Source organism: Homo sapiens, chromosome 9 (genome assembly GCF_000001405.40).
Source record: "Homo sapiens chromosome 9, GRCh38.p14 Primary Assembly".
Lineage (NCBI taxonomy): Eukaryota > Metazoa > Chordata > Mammalia > Primates > Hominidae > Homo > Homo sapiens.
The window spans coordinates 14,927,233-14,942,792 of NC_000009.12; the positions used below are offsets into that span (position 1 = coordinate 14,927,233).

General features: G+C 37.1%; 1 long non-coding RNA gene across 1 annotated transcript; it reads right to left on the reverse strand.

Annotated features, from left to right (window-relative positions):
• Positions 1–695: 695 nt before the first annotated feature.
• LOC124902122 (uncharacterized) lies at positions 696–4,436 on the reverse strand. Its single transcript, XR_007061421.1, has 2 exons — positions 4,394–4,436; positions 696–1,797 (listed from the first exon to the last, which is right to left on the reverse strand). It is a non-coding gene; the product is annotated as an uncharacterized LOC124902122 (long non-coding RNA).
• Between the last annotated feature and the right edge of the window lie 11,124 nt (positions 4,437–15,560).

Below are 15,560 nucleotides of genomic sequence, written 5' to 3' on the forward strand. Positions count from 1 at the left end.
CAACCTCTGATAACACACAGCAAACGATGTGTGTGGTTGCCATCAACCATCCTTGTGCATTCTTTGATAATTCAGTAGGGCTGTTTGCACTTCTGAGTCCTGACAAGTGTGCTCTCACTCTCACATTCACCCTATGTCTCCAACAGTGTACCAGAGCTGTGTTTCTTGCAGCATACTTACCAACCCCCACTGTCTTCAGAGTAGTTTTATCTTGTTCCCTGGGGTTTTAACAGTCACTGATAAAGATATCTAATTCAGCATTTTTCTATAATCTAATTTCCTCCTCTGACAAATGCTGTCACTGAAAAATGATGGAGAATTTCCTGACGCCTTCTGTTTTCCTTACTGAGGCCCCTCTAGAGCATTTTGGCATGTGTTATTGATGGGGCCCCTGAATACTGGGAAGAGTGCTGATACCACAGTTTCTAATCATGGATAGAAACTAAGGCCTGGGTAGGGGGTCTTTTTAATCATCTATTTCCAAGAAATGGGAACGTAAATTTTTTTAGAATTCTTCGACTTAGATCCAGTGGGTCCTTTAATTAGACATCACCAGAAGTTGTTTGGACATAAAATATACCCTAGATACTTTGTCATCACTAAATGTTACAAAATGGCACCTAGATCTGTCACAACTCTAATTATGAGGGATCAAAAAGGCCTGACTTGATCTCAGAAACTTCAGCCTCCCAAAATTTCAAGACCAAAATTTATTCTGCAGGGCACTCCTTCCATGACACATTGAACCAGCATCCTTTTAGCAAAGTAAATGCTCAGTACTATAGCCAATGGAGTAGGAATTTATTACCTATCTTGTCCATGCTTTTCCATTGATCTGTTATTTTGCTCAACTTATGCCACCATATCTTGGAACCAAGCAGGTATTTGTCAAGGATTTTTGTCTTCTTAAGTAGAGAATCCTCTAGAAATTGACTTTTCAGTATCATCAGTAGAAATATTGAGCATATTGTAACCCTGGGTTCTTAGGGTGGCCCTTAGGATTTTAAAACCATAAACTGCATCATCCAATAGACAGCAGCACATCATCTGTAACCTCTGAAGTGATGATCAAATGTTACTAGATCAGTACATGAAGAGAGGAATGTGAGTGATCTAACCTACTCCAACATGGCTGATCTCAAATGAGTATTAATTACTCCAATTATCGCAAATTGCATATGTAATGCAATATTTCGTAGCCTTTTTCAATTTCCAAAGCTATTTCATAAACATTAACTTGTTTGATTATTATAAAACACTATGATTTTGGCATGACTGTGTTCATCTCACCCACAGAAGAATCAAAGACTTGTAGCTGCATTTTTGCAGCAAGAGGCTGCCTCTAAGGCTTGTATTCATAGAATATATTCACGGAGTTTCAAGGGATATTAGTGATGAACTGGCCATGGCTGAACTGGCCATTGGTCTTCTTTTTACAGAAGAGAAATTCAAAACCCAGAAATGTGCCCCAGTTCCCAGAGGTAAGGGTGGGATTAAACATAAGCTCAGGTCCTTTTTTTCCAAGCCAGCATTCCATGTTACGTGGCTTGTGTCTTTGCAATGTATTTCATAATTTCTAATTTCCCTGTGGTAGGGAGAAACCTACCAATCTTAGCATTTTCATCTGAAGTGATGTCAAGTCTTCAGTGTGTCAGGGTGTCCCTAATGCTCTAATCTGCTGGATCATGGGACAGCTTAACAACATTGCACAGCCCAGATCTAACAAGGCCCTGTTGTTGACTCTCAGGTGCAAGCCTATCTTCAGCATAAAATGTCATTTGTTCACAAATGAAGAACCTGCAAGAAAGTTAATATTTTGAATTCAGATCAGTTCCATATAATACATCTGTAAAAGAACAATGGAGTAGCTTGGTCATGCATGGAATCATGGGTAGCAGTAGTGGTATAGAGTCTGAGGCTCTGGGATTGAAGGAAGCCTTGGCATTTACAAGTTGTGTGACCTTGGAGAAGTGGGCTCATCTTTCAGAACCTCAGTTACTTGTGGATAAAATGAGGGTTTTTCTTTTAGACATCTCCAGGAGTTGACATAAATTTTAAATGGAATAATATTTTCAACGATAAATGTTAATTATTGAAGTTAATCATATTATTTATGTAGAAAATAGGACACTTCTGAAAATTTGAGCATAGCAAAATTTTTTCCACGTTGCAGATTCAAAATGTCCTCTAGAAAGAATACCAATTCTGGGGTTTTTAAAAAAACATATTTTGAGGTATAATATGTATAAAGTGCATAAAACACATTAATTAAGGGTAGAGCTTGATGAATTTACACATTCATTTACACTCATGTAACCAACCTCCAGATCAAGATATAGGACATTTTCTGCACCCCAAAAGTTTTCCTCATTTCCATGTCCAGTCAATACTCTCCGCCAGCACTCGGAGTTGAGCACTATTTCAGCCCCACTCCTGGTTCTCAGGCCTCTGGACTAAAACTGGAACTTACACTATCATCTCCTCTGTTTCTTAGGACTTCAGATTTGGACTGGACCCACACCACTGGTTCTCATGGGCCTCCAGCTTGCAGAGAGCAGATCATGAGACTCCTCAGTTTCCATAATTGCATGGGCCAAACCCTCATGATAAATCTTTTTCTATATATCTATATGTCATCTATTGATTCTGTAGATGAGTTTTGTTTTTCTTGAACTTTGTATACATGGAATAATATAGTTTATATTGTCATTTGTTTGTGAAATTTATCCATGTCTTTCACATACAAATAGTTTCTTCATTATGACTGCATATTATTGCATGAATATTAAATAAATTATTTATCCATTCTCTGTTAGTGGACATTTGGATTGTTTCTAGTTTGGGGCCATTATGAATAAAGTTGCTATGGACATTCTTGTGTATATCTTTAGGTGGACCTGTGTACTAATTTCTCTTTAGGTGGACCTATGTACTAATTTCTCTTTAGGTGGACCTATGTACTAATTTCTCTTCCGTATATTTTCAGGTCTGAAATTGCTATATCATAAACTGTTGTATGTTTTAGCCACAGCATTTTGAAACAGAGTTTTAAGTAACAGCATTAACTTCCAAGTCCAGTCAACCCTAGCCTGACTAAATCTGTGGATTTATTAGAGTCAATAAGCCAATAAATATTGGTTTAACACCTGCTATGTGTCAGGAATTGTGATTGTTAATTTTATGTGTCAACTTGACTGGGCTAAGGAATGCCCAAATAGCTGGTAAAACATTATTTCCAGGTTTGTGAGGGTATTTCTGGAAGACATTATCATTTGAATTGGTAAAAAGAGTAAAGAAGATCACTTTCACTAATGCAGGCGGGAATTATCCAATCCATTGAAGACCTCAATAAAACAAAAAGACAGAGGATGGGCAAATTTGCTCTCTGCTTGAGCTGGAACATTTATCTTCTCTGGCCTTCAGACACTGGCACTCCTGGTTCTCAGGCCTTTGGACTCAGACTGGGACTTACACTATCAGCTCCTCTGGTTCTCAGGCCTTCAGGTTTGAACTGGACCCACACCATTGGTTTTTGGGGGCCTCCAGCTTACAAGTGGCAGATCATGAGACTTCTCAGCCTCCATAACTGCATGAGGTGATCCCTCATGATAAATCTTTTTCTATATATGTATATATTGCCTATTGATTCTGTTTATCTGGAAAGCCCTGACTAAATACAGGACTACAACAGTGAGCAAGGCAGGTGTGAGCTTCTCTTCCTGAGGCTTATCATCTAATTAGAGGAGGACATCTAACTAGAAATGGGAACATGATGAGGGTCATGAGGGGAAGTGAAAGTCACTACAGGAGCATATAACAAGCATTCTAATGTGCTCTTAGGTTGAGTGCATTTCCCTATTTTTACTAAAAGTTGAGTTTTCCAACCAAATGGACAAGAATGAGTTGTGATCAAAGCACTTTGGGCTCCTTTTGCAGTTCTTCCATTAAGCTGTTTTGTGACTTGAGGCAAAACCCCTACCTTCCTGAGTCTCATTTGCAGTACGAATATCATCTTATATGTGCTTCTGAGCGAACTGCTCCTCTTAAGTTGTTCGAAGAAATGAGTTTGTAAAGTAGTCACTGGTTATGCAAACTAGACAGTAGAAGTCAGACAAGGAGTCCTGAAGCTTTTCCGACTACAAAAAGATATTTAATCCCCTTATATTCAAGTGAAGTAACAGAAAACTCGGTTTCTCTACAAACAATGTGTATCTTTAGCTATAAGAATAATTGTTGGGCTGGGCACAGCGGCTCACGCATGTAATCCCAGAACTTTGGGAGGCCAAGGTGGGTAGATCACCTGAGGTCAGGAGTCCAAGGCCAGCTTGGCCAACATGGCAAAACCCTGTCTCTACTAAAAATAAAAAAATTAGCCAAGTGTGGTGGCGCGCACCTGTAATCTCAGCAACTTGGGAGGCTGAGGCAGGAGAATCACTTGAATCTGAGAGGCAGAGGTTGCAGTGAGCTGAGATCACACCATTGCACTCCAGCCTGGGCAAAAAGAGCAAAACTCAGTCTCAATAAATAAATAAATAAATAAATATTTTTAAAAGAATAATTGTTAAAATCACAGGAGATTACTGTTAACTCATCATGTTTTTAAATGACAGCCTAGTAAAATCTGTATGATTACTAAATCAGATTCAGGTATCATTCTTCAAGGAAGTACCCTCATCACAACATAAAATGCAATATGTGTTTTTATTTTTTATTTTATTTCTTTATTTGAGACAGATTCTCACTCTGTCGCCAGGCTAGAATACAATGGCCCAATCTCGGCTCACTGTAGCCTCCCTCTCCCAGGCTCTAGCAATCCTCCCACCTCACCCTCTGGAATAGCTGGAACTGGGTGCACATTATTACCTCATCTGGCTAAGTTTTGTATTTTTTGTAGAGACATGGTTTTGCCGAGTTGCTCAGGCTGGTCTCAAACTTCTGGGATCAAGTGATCTGCCTGCCTCAGCCTCCCAAAGTGCTGGAATTACAGGTGTGAGCCACCATGCCCAGCCTCAATGTATGTTTTTAGTATCTTCTAAGCCAGCAATCCTCAAAGGAGTCAGGGATGACTGGTCTCTGAGACCATTTCAGGGGATGCATGAGGTCAAATTATTTTTATAATAATACCAAGATATTCTTTTCCTTGTTTGCTCACATTCTCTCATAAGTATAGAATGCAATTTTCCAGAGGCTACATGACATGTGACATCACAAGAGATTGAATGCAGGAGCAGATGTGAAGATCCAGCTGTTTTCCATTAAGTCAGACACTAAAGAGACTTGCAAACAGATAAAACAACACCACTTTTTCACCAATTTTTTATTTTCAAAGATAGTTATTTTTATGAAAATAATAATGTTTACATGTAATAAAGATATTGTTTCTTTCAAATAAATATTTCTGTTTTAATTTCTAACACAGTAAATATATAGATATAACTCACATATATAAAAGCTCTTTGGGGTCTTCAATATTTTTTAGAGTGAAAAGTAACCCTGAGAATAAAAAGTTTGAGAACTACTAAGTAAATGTCTTGCAAATGGTCTCAATCTCCTTATGTAACAAGCTCCTAGATTAGCAGTTTCTATCTCCTTATGTAACAAGATCGTCAATCAGTCTGGCTTTAGTCATGATTGTAGTAGCCAAGACTGAATCAAAGAAAATAGGGCTTATGGAAACTAAGAAACAATGAAGGGCTTATATATTCCGTCAAAGAATATTGGGAAGATATTTATTCTGTCTCCACAAATTGTGTCATGCTTCATGCTTCATGACTGTATATTTACATTCATGATTTTATTCAATGCTCAGAACTTAGGTAGACAGAAAAGGTGTTAGTCCAGCTACTCGGGAGGCTGAGGCAGGAGAATCGCTTGAACCCTGGAGGCGGAGGCTGCAGTGAGCCAGATAGCACCACTGCACTCCAGCCTGGGTGACAGAGTGAGACTTCATCTCAAGAAAAAAAAAAAAAAAAAGAAAAGGTGTTAGTCTCCTGATTTTACAGGTGAGGAAATTGACCTAGAGGAGCTCAGTGAATTGAGCCATGGCCACAAAGCTAACAGGCTGGACTGGGATTGGAACGTAGGTATCTGTGATGCCCTATCTAGTGCTCTTTCCATGTAGCAGAACGTAAGAATTTTATGTAAATATTCTCCAAGTTAACTTTGAATCTCAGTAGTTTGTAACTCCATAATTCTTAATCAATGTTATCCTCCTGGTATTGTTTTCTTCAAAAAAAGTCAACATCATTTTTTTTCTCTAAAACTTACTCTCACCAAACCTGAAAAGAGCTTAAGAGAAGCTAATTTTCTGGAAGCATCTTTATACTTGAAGGGTAGAAAAGTATCCATCTTGTCTTTACATTGACTAAAAGTAAGCATAGTCTAATGGGAACTAGAAGCAAATATATCTTCTGAGAAAGAACTAAGAGTTAATACATATTCCATAAAAAGGCTGGAGACTGTCTTTAGCAGACTGATAGCAGTTAAGTACCTTAAGAGAACCAAGTGAGTTTGTTTTTTGTTTTTTTGTTTTTTGTTGTTTTTTTTTTTGAGACGGAGTCTCGCTCTGTTGCCCAGGCTGGAGTGCAGTGGCAGGATCTTGGCTCACTGCAAGCTCCGCCTCCCAGGTTCACGCCACTCTCCTGCCTCAGCTTCCCGAGTAGCTGGGACTATAGGCGCCCACCACCACGCCGGACTAATTTTTGTATTTTTAGTAGAGATGGGGTTTCACCGTGTTAGCCAGGATGGTCTCGATTTCCTGACCTCGTGATCCGCCCGCCTTGGCCTCCCAAAGTGCTGGGATTACAGGCGTGAGCCACCATGCCTGGCCGAGAACCAACTGAGTTTTTAAATCAAAAAAAAAAAAAAAAAAAGCTTTTCGCAATCCTTTCCTAAAACCAGGTGTTGAATAGTTGTCTCATGATTTATCGATAATTTTCTGTTCTCTCTAAAGCTCTGCACAACTTGATGGATTTTCCTCCACAATTGGATTTATTTCTTAAACCCATTATTAAGTAATGTCTGACACTTCCATTTCTGCTTGAGATTAATGGCATGCCAAATTCTAATTTATAGAATCAACTAAAATGTCATATAAAATGCAAAACATGAATTGTTTACTGAGTAAGGTGGTCTGGTTTTAAGGAGACAAAGATCATAGTTTCAATTTGGGAGTGGCTAAAGAGATTAAAATCACAAAGACAAACTCTGTTACGGCTACATTCACAAGAATACCAATAATTTGAAGTAACTGAGCCAGATACTTAGAGCCAGGAGTACCTTTAAGCATGGTTGTTAGGTAGGCTTCAAAAATTTCTAAATATAAAAGCATTTTAATACTTATTAATGAATAATCAATCACTTTCAAAATATGTCAATGCCTTCTACTAAGAAGGAGCTTTTTTGACTGCTCCAAATAAAGCTTAAACAAATGAAGTATAAACTTCCAACTTTTGACTGGGTGTGGTTGCTCACACCTGTAATCTAAGCATTTTGAGAGGCTGAGGCAGATGGATCACTTTAGGCTGGGAGTTCAAGTATCCATTAGACCAACGTGGACACGCCATGTGAAACCCCATCTCTACTAAAAATACAAAAAAAAAAAATTAGCCAGGTGTGGTGGTGCGTGCCTGTAATCCCAGCTCTTTGGGAGGCTGAGGCAGGAGAATCTCTTGAATCTGGGAGGTGGATGTTGCAGTGAGCTGAGATCGTGCCATTGCACTCCAGCCTGGACAACAGAGCAAGACTCTGTCTCAAAATAAATAAATAAATAAATATACACATACATACATACATACACAAACAAACTTCCAACTTTTACATTTGAAAAAAATCATATGGTATTAGTTATTTTGTTATTAGTAGTAAAACTGTGGAATTACGGAGAAGGAGCTGGGTTTGAGAGCTGGAATGGTGAGTGAAGAAATAGTTTTTCTTTTGAAACTACCTCCTTAAATTTGACTAGAGAATTCTAAACCATCCCCCCATGACTGAAATGAAAGATCACAAATCTGCCAACTTTTGGTGTTGGAACTGTTTTTATAACAGAAGGATGGAAGGCTACACTTGCCAAAACAAGAGAGTGAGGGGGGAGAAATCCTTCCATTCTAAATGAAGATCCTTTAGAGTACCCGGGAATGGCAAATCAACACTAAGTTGTATTTTCTCCTAAGCAAGTCATCACATTTCAGCAGCAATTTAGCTTTAGCAAAAACAATAATAAATTCCCTTTACAAAAAGGCCAGCTACCATAGTCACAGGTTGGGCCGTATGGTCATCAGAGAATTCGAAAAGAAAGCAAGCTTTGAAAATGTGGCCTGCTGTGCTTTTGTACACTCCCAGACTACTGCCACAATAAAGCATTCCTGGACAGTTGCAGAGTTAGGGAGGCAATTTCCCCAGAATAGCTGATAAAATGCCCCATCTATTTTCATAAACTGCTGCAAACAAAGGCTCTTCACCTGAGTATTTTCAGGCATCACTGAGTTTACCTCTACATTAAAAAAAAAAAAAGTGTTCATCAATGTAAATTAATGGCCCCCATTATACAAATTGAAACTTGGGAATTTATTCCTGTTTTTTTTTTTTAACTTGGGAATTTAGAAAAGATGCAACATCCAAGAGGGTTCAGAATTTCTTTTTCTTTAAACCAAGCTCTATTTCTATGTCTATGCATCCATGCAATGGCACATTGCCTTTCTACTCCATATTAGAAATTTATAGCATATGTTTTCAAATTATTTACTAGTATACATAAATATTAATTAAATGGATGATTTCTTTTAAGATTATGTTTAATTGCAATGTAACATAAATCTTGGCCAAGTAAATATCTTGAGACATTTATGGCAGATTCTGCCCCCTAGGCAAAGGTTTCTTGAGCTCTGTTTTGTGGGAGTGTAGCATCTGCTTACTATCAAGAGGCAAGCAAATGCATTTTATGGTGACTGTTTCCTGAAGAAATAAACAGGGGGAAAAAACCTTAATTTTTCAACATCCATTGTTTTAAACCTTAAAAAACCTTAAATTTAGCAGCACTTTTACAACTAACGATCTGGTTTTATAGCAAGAACCTAGAGCTGGGGGAACTCTATTTCCTTTAGAGCCACTTGAAAGTAGACAATTGCTCTGTTAAGTGGTCTCTTGGCAGTAGGATATGTTAGATATCTTTTCAGTCAAGCCAAAACTGATTTAAAGAATCTTGAAATGGCCACATCTCTTTAAACATGTCTGATTCATAGGTTATCTAAATGCTGTTTTATGGTATTTTATATGCTAAAAACCTGTTGATTTTGTTACTTTTAGAATCAAACCAAGTAAATGTTCTCCTCTCTAAAAAAAATCTTAGTTCAGAATCTAACTAGCAGGGGGCTGCTCTTTGGTGGTCTCCTGGGCGAATGTAATCGAGCATTTATGATGCGGTCATCTGGCAAACAGACCTTTGGTTCAGTTCGTTACTAAGCTACAGTCACTGGAGTCAAGGATTCTAATCCTAGGACAACTTTTAACCTCCCACAGAATTTGCTTTCTGTGGGTTACACTTTGGCAATACTTTTCTCTTGACTTACATTAAGGGACACTGTGTATACATGTAGAACACCCACTGTTTCATTTATTGTTAGGATTGTAGCTTTAAAAATATTGTTAATTACATCAGGAATTTTTAAAAACTAATATTTATAAGACATGTAGTATGCTACCACTTTGTATGCTTCACTTCATTTAAAATTTTAAAACTCTCAACAATACTGTGAGGAAAGCACTTTTATTATGATTTTGCCCATAGAGAATACAGGCTTAGGAGCTGTAAATGAAAAGAACAAAGAATAGAAGTCAGGTCTATCTAATGCCAAAAAAACAGCTATCCACAGCTATCCAGCATATGAGACCCTCATGGAAAAGCTATCTGAGGTCTAGTCACTCAAGGAGGCTTCTAATTTTCCAGGGTGCAGCATGCTTTTCTTTGTGGACAATGAAGAGCATGCAATCTGCATTGTATTCAGTTCTCTTACTTTGGCCACGACTAAGCTCTTCTTCTTTTTTTCTTTTTTTAATAGAGAATAGTACAAAGTAGAAAGTTTTTAAAACTAACAAAATTCTATCATCCAGAAATCCCTGAAATCAGCTCTTTCTGAAGATAAAAATAACTGATGATATGCAATGTTGGTGAGAGAAATACAAGACAGTCACATTTATATCCTGCTAGTGCAAGAGAAAAGAGGGGAAATCTTTCTGGAAAGCCATTTGGCAGCTAACTAAAGAGTTTTAAATGTCTGGTCCTTTGGCTTAGCAATATCACTTAAAGGACACTGTCCTACATCATTAGGAAAAGGAAAAAAAATTTATAACTTTTAAGTTATTTTATGAACGTATAAGTAATTTTATATATAATACTTTGATCATCACGTATTATTTATTTCTAAAAGAATAGAATTAGAAACAACAAACACCTAAAATTAGAAAATTTTTTAAATTGTGATATATACAAAAAATAAACTACCACACCTCTTTAAAATTCAAATTACTAGGCCAGGTACACCTATAATCCCTGCATTTTGGGAAGCTGAGGTGGGAGGATTGCTTGAGGCCAAGAGTCTGAAAAATCATTTCAGTTATGGTATAATGTAAGTGAAAAAAGCAAGCCATAATATGATATTATGTAATTAAAAAAATTAGTTATTTCAATAGGTAATATAGTGATATTACATTAATATTAGTACAGGCAGGATGCAGTGGCTCATCCCTGTAGTCCCAGCACTTTGGGAGGCCGAGGCAGGTGGGTCATTTGAGGCTAGGAGTTCGAGACCAGCCTGAGCAACAGGGTGAAACCTCATCACTACTAAAAATATAAAAATTAGCCAGGTGTGGTGGCACATGTCTGTAATCCCAGCTACTCAGGAGGCTGAGACACGAGAATCTCTTGAACCCAGGAGGCAGAGGTTGCAGCAAGCTGAGATCTCCCCACTGCACTCTAGCTAGGATGACAGAGAGAGACTCTGTCTCAAAATATATATATATAAAATATATAAATATATATATTTATGTATTATATATGTATTATACATATATATGTATTTAATATGAATGCATTGATGCTATTATTGATATAATAAATAAATTGATTGAATATTAATATAATATTGATATCAAGTATTTTGATGTATATGTTGATATTAATATATGTATATAAATTAACATATTGATCAAATATTAATATGTTGATATTATATTCACATTATTATTAATAGCTAAAAACCTGAGTTTTTTCCTCTATTCCAGGCTCTGTTTTAATCCCTTCTTATGGATTCTTTTATTTAGTCTTTGTAACAACACTGTAAAATAAACACTCGGTTTTTAAAAATAACTCTAAAAACTATTTTGAAATAACTTCTCACTTATAGAAAACTTGTAAGAATACTATAAAGAACTGTTCTACACTGTTCACTTGGATTTACCAATTAACAATTTGCCATATTTGCTTTATCTTTCTTTGTTTCTCTGTCTCTGTCTGTCTCTTTCTAGATACACACACACTTTCTGAACAAGTTGGGCAAGTTGTGTATATCTTGTTCTTTTATCCCTAAATATTTCACTGTATGTTTCCTTAGAAAAAGGGCATTTTGTTATATAATCACAGTATAAAAATTAATATCAGGAGATTTTACACTTACACAATACTTTCATGCTGTATTGTCTCAATAACATCCATCATAGCAAATTTTTTTGAGATCCAGGATTTAATCTTGGATCACTCATTGCATTCAGATGTTGTATCTCTTTAGTCTCTTTCAATCTGATACAGTTCCTCAGCTTTTGTTTTTAATGACAGTAAACTTTTGTAAATGCTTGGGCCATGCATTTTGTAGATTTCCCCTAAATTTCTGTTTGTCTTCATTTTTATGGTGTTTGCAAATTAGTGATCTTCTAACTCCATCATTCCTGAATTTCTCCTGTAAGAAAGAGATTTCTTTTTTCTTTTATTTATTTACTTATTGTCACTATGGACTCACAATTCTTACTTTATTCAGTGAGTTATAATCCTGTATTGTTGCTATTTATTTTCTTTTTTATAAGTCCTGTGATGGTTAATTTTATGTGTCAACTTAATTGGACCACAGGATGCCCAGATATTTGGTCAAACATGATTATGAATGTTTCTGTGAGGATGTTTTTGGATGAGATCAACATTCAAATTAGTAGGCTGAGTAAAGCAAATTGCCCTTTTAATGTGGGTGGGCCTCATTCAATTAGCTAAGGCCTGAACAGAACAAAAAAAGTTAGCTCTCCTTCACAAAAGAGAGCATTCTTTCTGCCGGGTGGCCTTCGAGCTGGGAGGTCGATTTTTCCTGCCTTCAGACTAACTGAGATATTGTTTCTCCCTAGGTCTTGAATCTGCTGGCCTTTGGACTGAAACAACACCATTGATTCTCTTGGTTCTCAGCCCCTCAGGCCCACATGGAAACTATACCATCAGCTCTTCCAGGTCTCCAGCTCGCCACATAGATCTTGAGACTTGCCAAGACCTTCATTATTGCATGAGCCATTTTTTCATAACACGTCTCTTGTTTTTTATTGACCCATTCATCCTATTGGTTCTGTTTCTCTGAAGATCCCTAATACAAACTCCCATTGTTTTTTAAGTACATCTTTACTTTTTAGCCAAGAATATGTTCCAGGCTTATCTTGGTTTTTCTCTTCCCTGGCCCTGGAATCAGTCATGAATTCTAGCACCACTATCTATTTTTAATGGGGCATGATATTTGTAAGCAAAAGTGCATTGTTGGTATTGTTGTTTGCTTCTAAGTCTTTTTAGCAGGCAGTTAGGGAATGTGTGTGTGTCCATAGATACATATAGATGTATCTGTATACACCTATAATAGTGTTAATGTGCATATATACATCTATAAGTGGACAAGCATATATACACATATGTGTGTATATAGATATACAGATATTCATACTAATACCTCTAATTACAATCCAACACCAAACACTACAGTGTTCCTCACAGCCTTCCTGTTTTTTATTGGTATCCTTGTTCTCAAACTATGAAAATCTGGTTGTCAGCATAATCAATATATTTACTCATTTGCTCAGTCCTACCATACACAGAAAGTAATTTCAGAATAGCTAACCCATACATTGTGGAAATCAAACCTAATATATATAGTTCAGCTTTGTCTTTTAGTGGACAATAGCCAAAGTTCTATGAGTTTGTTCTTTTTCACTGTTCAGTATGGTCATGTTATTCATTTAAAGGTTAGGTTGATCTACTTCTGTTTGTATTCCATTTTAGGGTTTTTCCCCTACACCCTTGTTGATCTAATTTTTTTCAGAGTGAAAAACATGAGCATGATGCCAAAAGTCAAAACTTCACTTTTGCCTTGTTCCTATCCATCTCCTGCAGGTAATCAATCTCGTTAGTTTCCGATTCATCCTTCCTGAGATGTATATTATCACTTTCGTTTCTTACAGGACATATAGCATACTCTATGTACTCCTATGCCTTTTGCTTTTTTCGCAGTAAATTATTTCATCTTTGTTTATGGAGATTTTTTAAGAATCTCCCTCTGTCACCAGGCTGGAGTGTAGTGGCTTAATCATGTTTTACTCCATCTTTGGCCTCCTGGGCTCAGGTAATCCTCCTACCTCAGCCTCCTGAGTAGCTGGGACTACAGGTGCATGCCACCATACCCAGTAAATTTTTAAATTTTTTGTAGAGAAACGGTCTTGCCATGTTGCCGAGGCTGGTCTCGAACTCCTGAGCACAAGTGATCTACCTGCCTCGACCTCCCAAAGTGCTGGGATTATAGGCATAAGCCACTGCACCCAGACTGGAGATATTTTTGCAGTTTTTCATGATGTGGATGTTCCATACCTTATTCAATAAAAATGTCCTATATTTGGGGATTTAGGTCATTTCTAATACTTTAAAATTATAAATAATACTACATTGAATAACCTTGTGCATATATATTTTTATATTGTTGAGATCTATCTTCAGAGTAAATTCCTTGAAGTGGGATTATTGTACCAAAATGTAAACACACTGTGGTCTGATTAGGCATTGCCACATTCCACTCCATACGGATGTACCATTTTGTGCTTTCACTAGCAATATGTGGACTTGCCTGTTTTTTTCCTGCCTCCCTGAAAAAGTATATTGTCAAGCTTTTTAATTTTTTGCCATTAGTTTGCACTTTTCTCATAACATTAAACATTTTGTATATGATTAAAATTAAACATTTTGTATGTGTTTAATGGCCATTTCAATCTTTTTTGGTGAGTTATCCCTCATGTCTCTTATTTTATAATAAATCTCTAGTAGAAAAATATTTTTCTCATAGAAGAACATTTGCCAATTTTTCTATTAGGTTTTTGCTATCATCCCTCTTGAGCATATGAAGCAACTGGCTCAAAGAAGAATAACCCAGGGCCATTCACGTAGGAATTGCTGGAGCTGAAACTGGATATTACCATATAAAGAGAAAATTGCACAACATAATTTTTGTTGTTCTTTGCACTTTTCTATGTGACTCCCAAAATTTCCTGCCAGAGTATTCAGATATTACTTTGATAATTAAGAGGAAAAATGAAGTAAATTTTTTTAAATGAAAGAAATAGAAGAAAACCCAGCTGTTCCTTAAGTCACAACAGCTTTCCACAGTCTGCCAGGAGAATCTGCACCTGGAAGGTGGGAGCAGCCAAGCATGCAGGCTGCCACCTGCCAAAGGCTAGAGGAGTTTACCCTATTTGTGTTTATTTTAAATGAAAAAGTAAAAACAAAAGGAGAAGTAAGTAGAAAACATTGATAAGGTGACATTTGAGATGAATGATGCTTCATACTGAACCCAAGCTGCAAGTGGGGAAGAGAGACACACCCTCTAAAATCCATGACTTGAGATTCTCAAGAGAAATAAGAAGGAGGGAAAGGAGAGAGCTCACCAGTAAGACATAAATCTCAGAGGCTGTCTGGGAGTCTCAGGAGTGGCTCGAGTGAGGTTTTCAGCATAGAGAGGAATGAAGAAGTTATGCAACAAATCTGCTACTTCGGAAAACTGAAAAACGGTGAAGGCTGGGGAGATGAGGCATACATCATTCGTCTGCTAGGCAGTGGATTTCAGTCCCGACCGTAATTAACATCACCAGAGGAACATTTAAAGCAAGCAGATGTTTGGGCCCCATCCTTAGAAATTAAATCAGAATCTCAGGGGTGGGATGCTAAGATCCTGTTGAGAACCGCAGGTCTAGCAAATGTACAAGAGGCACAGGACTTCATGGATGTTTTCAGAGTATCTTTCAAGGATAAGAGAAAGAGATCAGCTCTGGATTTTAACTCAACAAATCTACCTATCAGTGCAGATAAAGAAATTATGTCACCATTGTTCCCATCATTATCATCATCATCCTCATCATCGTAGCTCCCATTTAATAAACACCTGATTATGCCCCAGATTCTATGGTAGGTACTTTATACTCCTTACATATTTTATTCTTCACAGCAACTCTTCAGGATAGTTTCGGTTTATTTAAGAGTTGATGAAATGAAGGCTTAGAGAGAT